At 32.1% G+C, this 12,000-nt stretch overlaps 1 protein-coding gene across 5 annotated transcripts in view; it reads left to right on the forward strand.

Annotated features, from left to right (window-relative positions):
* Positions 1 to 12,000, forward strand: part of GRID2 (glutamate ionotropic receptor delta type subunit 2) — a 1,506,491-nt gene that overhangs the window by 500,100 nt on the left and 994,391 nt on the right. The window lies entirely within an intron of this gene.

The following is a 12,000-nucleotide window of genomic DNA, read 5'->3' on the forward strand; positions in this document are numbered from 1 at the left end:
TACATCGTATTCTTTTTGTGTGTATCTGCATCCAAATTTCATTCTTCATATAAGGACACCAGTAACAACAGATTAAGGCCCACCCTAACGACTTTACCTTAACTTGATGTCTTCCAAGATCTTCTTTGCAAATAAGGTCATATCATTTTTTAGTAGACAAATAATCTTACTATGTTATTAAAGTAATTAAATCATATGGAAAAATATTCTATTTAATTATTGTATTTTACAAAACATTTCAAAGGATGGATATAATTCAGAGATAACCATTAATATTTTTTGCATAGGCACAAAATAGTTCTAGTTTTAAGGATTACAATTATAATAGATATGAATACTGGCAATTTATGAGCTGAATGTCATTTATATCATATGTCAGGAGAAAAATTCTGTAGAAGATATTGTCTAGTTTGGTTATAAGTAAAAAAAATGGTTAAATTATTAGGTGAGTTTATGTACAGATATATACTCAGTCTAACAATAACAGCAAAACTTAGTATGTGCATTTTAATAAACTATTTTTCTTTTGAGTAAGAAATTGTTTTCTTGATTAGTATTCTCCTGTAAGACTGCTTTAATTCTGTATTCTCTAGATATAAATGAGAATTGGGAAACAGAACTAAAAAGTAGCAAGTATCGTATAACTTAATTAATTCACCAAGATTGCTTTGTGAGTTTGCAAATGCAACTGCAAGTGGGAAGTAAAGTATTTCTAGTTTATTCATAAGTGTCCTAGTTGAAGTCTTTTTGTAAATAGGCTGGAGCCTAAATTTAATAACCTAATTTAATAACAATTTTGTCTTTATTGTTACTAGGTCAGCAGTTAGCATTTAAGATGAAAAATTGATGGGAATGATAACTTACATTATCCAACTTTATGTGGTTATTTGTTATTGCCTAAACTCCATTGCTAATACTTATACTGGCTAATATTTCTTCTGATTTTTATTATGGGCCAAAGCTATCCTAAGCTTTGCAAGTATTAACTAATTTATGCTCAAAACAAGTCTAGCAGATAGGTAACTATTATTATCTCATTTTCTACATGATGAAACTAAGAAACAGATTAAATTTGCTTATGTTTATCCTTCTAATAACTACTGCAGTGCAGCTTTTTACAACGATATCGTTATTTCTCTTTTACCAAATTTCTGTGTGATTTTTTTGATACTTTTCTCTCTCTCTCTCTGTGCTTCAACTACCTCATTTATACAGTTATTTTAATAACATAAATAAAATAAATGGATTAAATTGGGATTTCTTATTGTTCCCAACACCAAAATTCTCTTTTTGGTGTTAATAGAAATTACTATAAAAAGAGAATTGTGGTCAAATACATTTGGGAAATACAACATCCTTCTTTTGAGGACACATCAGCATTGGGTCTGAGAATTTATGTAGCAAAAGCATTTCTTTCATTTGAGGTACTTTTTACAAATGTATATGATCAGCGATTTTTATGAAAGAAATGCCAACTAATAAAATGTATTTTGGAGACATCGTTTGGGAAATTCTGAATTTAGATCCTCTAAAGTTCTCTTGATCTCTAAAAATCCTATTATACGGTGTTTAAAGGAAGATGATTTGCTTGGTGCAGTGGCTCACGCTTGTAATCCCAGCACTTTGGGAGGCCCAGGCAGCAGAATCACTTTAGCCAAGAAGTTGAAGGCAGTGAGCTATGACATTGACATTGCACTCTCCAGCCTGAGTGATAAAGTGAAACTCTCTCTTAAAAGAAAGAAAAAAAAGTAATTTCCTCTTTTTGACACTTCTCATAGTTTCTCTATATGTTATTTTTTTTGAGCTCTTTTTCCAAGAGTTCAGATTATCTCTTTGATTTCCCTTTCAACTCTGCAAATCGTATTTACTGTTTTTTCTCCCTACTATCACCTTCCTGGCACTACACAATCATATTTTGTATTGATCTTTTCTCTCATCATTATGTTCAAATATATACAAATTCCCAAAATTCTAAATTATCTGAAACAATATTTCTCTCAAACATCATTTATTCTTGGCCCTTTTATATGTACTGTGATTTAAGGGTTATATTGCATCTTTGCTATAAACTATGTCAAATCTATTAGAAAATAGGCTATCGACACACACACACACACACACACACACACACACACACACACACACACGGATATCTAAATAAATCACATTTTCGTTACCTTAAGAGATTCCATTCACTCCTTAGGATACCGAAAGAAGGACTTAGAAAACTATCTCTTACACAAAGAATTTTTAAAAATACACTGGAGACTTGTGGTTATATTGTTCTTGTTATCTATATTAAAAGATTGTATAAATGCAATAGGCTTATTTTCATCTGTTGTTCCAAAACTGACATAGGTGTTCTTCCTCCATTATACCTTCTGCTGACCCCTTTCCTAGTATGTATTTTTTTAAGAAAATAAGCCTTCTTTTTATATTTCTGTCTCCACTATTACAATATATATTTTCTTTTATACCAAGTAATGTATCTTATTTGAAATTTATGTTCTGTGCTAAGTATGATAATTAGGACCTAAGATATATAAGAGCCTGACATATATTGTACATACCAAATATAATCTAAGATATTAATAATTATTATTTGGACAACATTTCATAGTTTGAAAAAATAATTTTACTTCAGTAGTATTTCTAATAGTATTTTGATGGAACTTTCAAAACTTCTGCAAATAAGTTTTAGTATTATTTGTAATTTGCAGATAAGAAAACAAAAGCTTTAAATGATTAACTCAAAGAAAGTTATCATTACAATTGAAATTGAAGGTTATATAATATTTAGATAGGCAGAGGGCAGAGGTGAAGTCATTTCAGAGACCAAAAAAAAGCAAAAGTCCGGGGATGAAAGCAGCTATGACATATGTTGTGGGACATAAAAACATGCATTTTGGATAGAATAGGGAATTTAAAAGAAATATGTCAATTGTTCACCTATTATCTGGAAAATCAATCATCTTTTATTCTCTTGCAATTGTAAAGGCTCAGTTTTCTACATATTCATCCAATATTGTTCCAAATTTCAGGTTATATGATCATGCCTCAATATATGTATTTGCCTTAAATGTTTAAGAACAGATTGCTTTCTTGTCATTTGATCATTTCAACAATGTGAGTTCGACTTAAATTGAGTATTTAAATTTTGGCCTACTGCACCATTTTTTAAATATAACCTTTTTCTGGAATATCTATATATTGTGCATACAGATAAAGTGTACCCTTTGCTTATTTTCAGAGGACTCATAAAAAATAAAACTACCTAGGCAACATATATGTTGATTAAAGTTTGTACCTTTTTTATATTTTTAATATATTTTCTTTCTGTGTGCATATTTTAAATGTGATGTGCAAAAAAAATGTCAAAGTAAGTATCAGTGACTCAGCAAGAAAAGGCAAAAAATAAGCAGTGAATACAAGGAGTTGTAATTGGAATATTTCTCAAATGAAGAATATGTGAATATTTTATACACATAATAAAATCTATAATATTAAAAAATACAAAAGCACTACCAAAAGAGATGACCATGACATGAGACATTGGCCAATTAATTTACCATATATGCAGAAAAGTCCCCTCAAATTGTAAGTGAAAGGAGACGTTGATAAGATATGCTGAAGAAATAATAAGACGGAAGAGAATCAGCAGGGGTAGGATATCATTATAACAACTTCACGTTCTCTTTTAGACATAGTTTTTCTAACTTCTACATTTACCCACATGTTTATGTGTGTGTGCATGTGTGCGTATGTGTCTGTCTATGTATTATTTTGTGGAAATCAGCTTAAATGAACATTATTAAGTATTGTGGTAGGCAGAATAATGTCTCCCCAATATGCCCATGTTCTAATCCCCAAAACCTGTGAACATATTACCTACTTGCAAAAAGGACTTTACGGATATAATTAAATTGAGGATTTTGAAATGGGGAGATTTTCCCAGATTATCTGGGTGATTATATTGTAATCATAAGGGTTCTTGTAAGAGGGAGATAAAAGTGTCAGAGCAGGAGAGAGATTTTTTGGTGCTGCAACTGCTGGCTTTGAAGATGGAAGAAAAGGGTGTAAGCTGAGGTATGCGGGTATCACTAGAGACTGGAAGAAACCCTCCTTGAAGCCTCCAGAAGGAACACACAGCAGAGTTGAAACATTTATTTAACTCCATAAGATCCATTTTGGTTTTCTGGCCTCTATAATTATAAGATAATGTATTCGTGTTGAGGTAAGCCACTAAGCTTCTGGTAATTTGTTACAGAATCAATAGGAAAGTAGTAAAAAAGTCAAACATTTTATGGTACCAATAAGGTGTAAATTTAAATCAGAATTTGTTACTCAGTCATAAGATCAGCATATATGATTAACACTGCTTACAAATATTTCACCAGAATTATTTTAGATTAGAAATAAACATGTTTAGGGGATGTAAAATTTAAGCAAAGGAAGTGATTTAATTAGAAAAGGTAACTTCCATTTCGGAAGAAACTTTCAAGTCAAAGTGAACTCATTGTTTCTGCTTTATTTTTGTAGAGCTTAAGTTTATAAACAGGACCAGAGAACTGAACAACTGAATAAACATCAGTGTACTGGAAATAACTGAAGTATTGGGTTCAATATCATTATACACACTATTGTTTTGAGGTCACAGAACATGAAATCTCTGGGTACTTTCACCCAGCAAAATGCACACGTTAATAAGGCAAAAGATCGTGAATTTTTTTTTTTTTTACTATTTTATTCCCATGTTGGCTAACACTGAGAAACTTATATTCTCAGTTGGATAAAACAAAATATTTTGGGCCAATATTTATGCTAGGATAAGTGAAGAAATAAGACAGTCACTCAAAGGATATCCTAGATGAGAGCATTTTGGTCAAACAAATTTACAAATCAAATAGGGTATAAAAATGAATTTCCTTAATTTTAGCCATATTTTACAAATATTTTCACATAGTATAATTGCGGAAATAGGTCCATGATTTGAGCAAGAAAAGATACTCTGCCAAAATATTAATATAATATCTTGCTAAATTGTCTCTTCAAAAGCATCACATTTTATTAATATTTTCTTATCCATGCCCTTTAGAACAAACATTTTAAGAGATAGCATGTAGTAGTATTTAAAACTAAAAAATCTTAGTTTTCATGGCTAAAACTTTGAGCCACTTTGCAAATAAAAATAAATTTTAATTGAGCCTTAGGAGTATGAAAATAATCAGCAGTAAATTGAACCTGCATAAAAAATTCTGAGGGAACTATTGTCAAGGAACTATACTAAAAATTTACTATCATGGAATGTGGAATAAATATTTATTAGAATCTTCTTTGACCCAAATGTCATTTTAGTGCCTACTCATACAGTTAGTGATTGCAGTTATTTGTGAGATACAGTAGTGAATATACGTTTAATATTTTGGGGAAGTTGATTAGCTTTCCTGAATATTTCAAATCCTAGATTCTTAGATTTGAAGGAGACCTCCAAAATGGTCTTCTGTTCTAAATTGCAACATTCCATTTCGCAATACTCCTGATAGGTGACCATCCAGCCCCAGTTTGAAAAATAGCATGAATAATCTCCTTCTTGATCTGACATTGGCAAACCAAACAGAAATAGGATAAAACAAGATATTATTTTAAAATTACATTATGCTGTTATTTGTCCACTGTATCACTATAGTTGCATTAGTCTGCAGTTGAAGGTATTACCTACCAAACTCATGCATTTTTCCACTATTTTATTCTTTATTGCATCTAAAAATGTATAGTTTATGTTGTAAATATATCATAATATTTATATCACCAGGTGTAGTGAAGTATAAACTTAATAATTCCTGTTAATGTCTGACCTGACACCTTGTAGATGTTCAACAAACGTTGGTCCTGTTCACTTTTCATTTTTGAAAATATAGTATTTCATCTGATAGATACTGAGGGTTCTATTGATAATTCTTCAACTTTAAACATAATTTCAATTAGATATAAGCATAATTTTCATCAGATTTAATATGACTTCAATGTTGTGACTACTTAGTATAATTTATATCATCTAATATTTGATTGAACAATATAAATTTGAATGTCACTTATGTCTCTGAAAGAACTTAAAATTTTTTGAAAATTCATTCAGTTACAGTTTCTAATTTGATGAAATTAGAGATTTTTAGGATGCACTTTTTTTTTTTGCAAATTTCACGGAACCTATCCTTAATTTATGAGTTATTTTAAATTTTTTTAACCACAGTTAGATATTTTCATTTTTGGGAATTATAGCACACTTTAAGAATTTTTAAAAATTGGCATAGTGTGTGCTACTCATGTGACAGTTGCACTAAAATCCTAGACTCCACCATTACACAGTTCGTCTATTTAACTAAAAACTACTTGTACCCCTGAAGCTACTGAAATAATACAATTTTTAAAAAAGAATAAAAAGAAGTGTCAATGACTTTTTATCATTTTTCACATTGGCACTGTTACTGGTAGCCCATAAATTATAAAATTTGTGAGGCATTTGTAGATATACAAGGTTGTGTGTAAATCTGATTCATAGACAATCTTATGAATTCTTACCACAGTAAGAAAAATGAATGGAAGTGTAATAGTAACTTTGAGGATGAAAGCTTATATAACTACTTTTGTAAAATACATTTCTCTTTAGCAGGAATCAAGGTTTTAATTTTTTGCTTGCTGTTTTCTTAAATTTTTATTTCGTACTTATTTATTTATTTTGTTTTTGAGACAGAGTCTCACTCTATTGCCCAGACTGGAGTGTGGTGGCACAATCTTGGCTCACTGCAACCTCCGCCTCCCGGGTTCAAGTGATTCTCATGCCTCAGCCTCCAGATTATCTGGGACTACAGGTGCACACCACGCAATTTTTGTACTTTTAGTAGAGATGAAGTTTCACCATGTTGGCCAGGTTGGTCTCAAACTCCTGGCCTCAAGCAGTCCACCTGCCTCGGCCTTCCAAAGTGCTGGAACTACAGGCATGAACTGCTGTGCCTGGCCTAGAATCAAGATTTTTAGTTCACCTGGTACCATATCTAAGATAAATCTTAGAGCATTTAGGTACTTAATCCAAAAATATCTTTTTGCAGTATGCAACTGTCCCTGAAATCCTTGAAATAAAAAGTATAATTTTCTAACTAAAAATGTAGTTTTATACTATAATTTTTCTTTTAAATAATAGTAAAACATATCCATACCTTTTTTACTCTGACTCCAGTGTATATGCATTGGAAAAGGAAAATTCCGTGTTTTAGTATATTTCATACCCAAATTTTCTTTTACTTAATATTTTCAGTATTATCTGTAAAATTGCTTTCTTTACTGTTTCTTTTGTATTTTGTCTGTTTTGCATGCATTAAAACAAAATGTGAGGGAGGACATTATTTTTGTAATTGTCTATTCACTGAGATAAACTGAAATGTATATCAAATCAGTCATTAACCCCCAAATTTACCTAAATGATTCCAAATATCCTAGTATTTCTCAAAAACAAATTGACTCAGTTTTGTGTTTTTCACTAGAGGTCCAGGATTGTATTGATGGCTGAATAATGAGTCAGGAAAATTGACCTATATGATTTTTTTCTTCAGGAACTTATGCCAGTTAAAGTAATTGCATTTTATAATATAATTTTATTGTGAGTAAAATATAAACAGTCGACAATTAAAGTAAAATCATATGAAAATGGGAGACATATTTAACAATGTGAATATCATTGAACAAATGTCTGTTAACAATTTAAAAGTAGCAAAGAGGTAATCAAATAATTCAAAATCGTGACGTACTTCTTTATGCTTAGATTCAATTTTAAAGATGTACTTATCTGTAATTAGAGACTGTCACATTCAGTCATCTGAAAGGCAGTACCAGTAAGGATCATCTACCAAATTTTTAAATCTTGAGAATAGGCATTTTGCATAAGTAAACTCCATTTGTTTGCTCCCTACAATATTCTATATATTAAAAATAACATGTGCCAAAAAGGCTTCGCCTTAGAAAATCTGTACAACCTTTATGTGAACGTGAATGAACATTGTTTTTAGCAATAGCTTATTAGGAACTCTGATTTTCAAATAAATATGTGAAGATCTTTAATATATGAATATCAGCATTTTCCCAAGAAAGGTAAGTGGATGTTTATTATCTGTGAGTGAGATATATGTCAGTTTAGACATTTAAAAATAAATCACTCTGATTTAATATTGTAATATAGATTATAAAAACATTCTTAAGTGGTGAAAATGATCTGCCAAATCGGATAAATAAAAAAGAGTGAAACAGATTTAATCAAAACATTCTTTCCATGGGAGGAGGGTGTTTTTGGTGATAGGAACTCTCTTCCCTGAGAAAATGGAAATGTATTTGGATTTAAAAATTACAATCAACACATGGATGAAACCATACATCATATAAATGCAAATTTTACATGTATATTTTCATTACACTATTACCACTGTGATTTTAAATGTAGTATTTAAATACCAATAATTAATTTAGCATAATACCCCTGTTTTAATAAAGCAACTTTATATGGTGATTTTTGTTTTCTTATCCAAGCTGAATTATATATAGTGATGATAAGATCACTAGCATCAGATGAATGAAAAACTGATTTATGCTGTACAGGTATACAACTCTTTATAAATAATCTTGCAACTTGATACAGAAAGTGTCTATAATTCTGGCATGTTTGACATTCCCATTCAGTCCAATAACTCGTTGACAGATACTTAATTTGCTACTTCTTGAAGGTGTTGCTTGAAGTTTCCTTCTACTTGACAGGTGTCTGACAGTTCAGTCTCACTCAGAGCTTAACAAAATGGGAAAAGAATGCATTATCTAAACCCCTAGGTAATATCCATTTTATGTCATTTTATGACTTTGATAGTATCCAGGACTCAATTCTGTTCCTCTGGATAGTGAATAATGTGCACTTTTACTTGTGGCTTTTTAAGATATGTGTATATACCTTTAGATTTCCTTCAGACTCTATCTTGAAATGTCAAATCTTTATGCCCTGCAGTTCTTAAACTATAACTGATGTTTACAATATGGACTGTGAAGGAAATTATGATAAAAATATATTTCCTGGTCACCCACTGTTTTGGTCAATTTAGGCTGCTATAGCAAATTACCATAGACTGGGATGCTTAAACAACAGACATTTATGTCTAACAATTCTGAAGGCTAGACATCTGAGATCAGAACGTCAGCATGGCCAGGTTCTGGTTCAAGCCCTCTTCCTTGTTGCAAACAACCAACTTATATCCTCACACAGCAGAAAGAGAGCAAGCTATACAGGCGCTTAATTTCATTAATAGGTTCTACTTAATTATCTCCCAAAGACCCTAACTCCGTATGCTGTGGGGATTTGATTTCACATATAAAATTTTTTGGATATACAAACATTCAATTCATAACACCTACCAAAATCAAAATATTCATAATACAAATAATGCTCTTAGTATCTGGCATCTCTGACAAATTATTTCAGCTGTTTTGCTTTTGAATACATATTTATATCCATTCAGATTTATCAGAATTCTTCATTTAACTTCAGTACAGACACACGCACGCACACACACACACATATACTCACACACACTTTTTAAGATGTAAGCATATGATTTCATTTTAGAATCAGGCAGAACCATATTATAAGTCAGTGTCCACAGATAAAGTATCTAATATAAAACTGAGTTTCTAAAGGAAACGTATTTTGAGGTGAAAATCTGTTTAGCTTACCAGTGTCTATATAATATGTGCAAAATCCTTAACATCGCATTGAAAGATTCTTTGGATCTGATCTTACCATATATTTCTAGCCTAATTAATCTTCTACATTTACCCTGCCAGTTCTCTGTTCCTACTCATTGATTCCCTAACAATGTAAGCAGAGTTCCTTTGTTAAGTCATTCACAGAAAGTTTTCCCTATTCTTCTCTATCTGAAAAAAAATGTCCTCTATCCTTGGAGATCTAACCCAAAGTCCATGAAGCATTTTACTGATACTTTCATTTTCTGTTGCAGCACTTGCTATTTCTTTTATGCCATGGAGTGGGCACATTTTGTATTTGTGTCTTGTATTATTGTGACTTGATCCTTGGATTGGATCTTATTTTACTTTTGATGTATGTGGTAGTCAGAGGCCTACCAACAGATAGAACCCACACAGTAATTTGGAGAAAGTTTTACATAAAGAATAAGTAGATATAATACAGTATTTATGTAATGGAAGATTAGCTAGTAATAACTAAAGAGGAGTCTAAAGAATATAGTAATAATAATTATAAGGAGAAACCATTGCCTCTGAAGCTGAGAGGTACCCAAAAAGAACCTCTTCATCCCCTGCAAGGCTGATATCCAAACTTTATTTGTGAGGACATGCCCGTGGCTCACTGGCTGGTGGACAAATTGCTGAGGTGCTGGAACAGCAGGACTTGTTGGAAATGTTTTCCTCTGGGATTCCAAATAAGTCACCCATAGGGAGGATCCTAACCAGCAGCACTCCTCTTCAAAGCCATCTAAGGGGTGCCATCTTCGTAGAGGTGCCTCATTGGCAACACTTCACTGCTATGCTATCTGAGAGGGTAATGGAAAATGCTATCCACAAGGAGACTGCACATTGAAAGTTAATGCAAAGCAACTTAAGGGGGTGTGGAAGATGCCATCCACAGGAAGTGCTGGGCTTCGGAACTCACTGAAAAGCCATCAGACACAGTGTCTGGGTGCTTCTAGCCACCATGTTCTATAGGAGCCAGGTATTAAAGAAGCTGCATGCTGAGAGGAGCACACTAGGACCAGAAAGAGAAACCTTTCTCCCTCTAGTGTCCCCCCAATGTCATGTACTGACAGAGCTCAAAATGTGCAAGTTCACAAGGGAGAAATATTTATCAAACCCATCTCCATTATTGTAGAGCAGGCAGTGGGGGGTGGATTTGGATGTGATAATCAATGTATTCATAATTGGCACAATATACTTGTTTATTGACTCTTTGAACAAATCAGAATTTCTTACAAGATAGAAATACATTCTTAACTTTCCTTTTGTGCCCAGGATTTTTAAAAAATCTCAAATAAATATTACTATATTTCTCCATCATATTCTTATTAATATGATATAAACTTTGACATTTTATGTGCACAAGATATATCCTAAGCATTAAAGATAACTGTGTTACATAAGTGCACATTATTGTGCTTAGTAAGTGTATGAGCATGTGTGGGCATATATGGGTGTATATAAAGTCAATATTTGATTTATGATTGACCAATTTGAAAATTAATAAAATGGGCTTGCTGAAAGCTAGAAGGTAGCTACTTTAAACATCAGAAAGACAAATGACAAGTCTTGGTATCAGCTAGTTAAAAACATAAGTTTCTACCTTTGAAAGGATTATGCCACACATTGATTTTCCTATTAATTTAAATAAAGGTAGGTATAGGAAATTTACTTTAGTTTCCATCTTTGAATGTTATAAAATATTGTACTAACACATGTTGATTTCTGAAATGTTATAATCTTATTATACTTAAAGGATAACATTGGGGCTGGGTGTAGTGGCTCATACCTGTAATCTCAATACTTTGGGAGGCTGAGGCAGGGGGATTGCTTGAGCAAAGGAGTTCAATACCAGCCTGGGCAACATGATGATACTTCATCTCTACAAAATAAATAAATAAATAAAAACTAACTGGGCATTGTGGTGTGTACCTGTAGTCCCAGCTACTTGGGAGGCTGAGGTGGAAAGATCACCTGAGTCCAGGAGGCTGCAGTGAGCCGTGACCGTATCACTGTACTCCAGCCAAGGTGACAGTGCATGACCCTGTCTCAAAAAAAAAAAAAAAAAAAAAAAAGGAAAGAAAAAAACAAAAAGCCAAAAAAAAACCAACCAAAAAAAAAACCCCTCACAAACAAAAGAGCAATATTGTTTTTAAAAGTACATTTTACTGGCCAAGCATGGTGGCTCATGCCTGTAATCCC

This window comes from Homo sapiens, chromosome 4 (genome assembly GCF_000001405.40).
Source record: "Homo sapiens chromosome 4, GRCh38.p14 Primary Assembly".
NCBI lineage: Eukaryota > Metazoa > Chordata > Mammalia > Primates > Hominidae > Homo > Homo sapiens.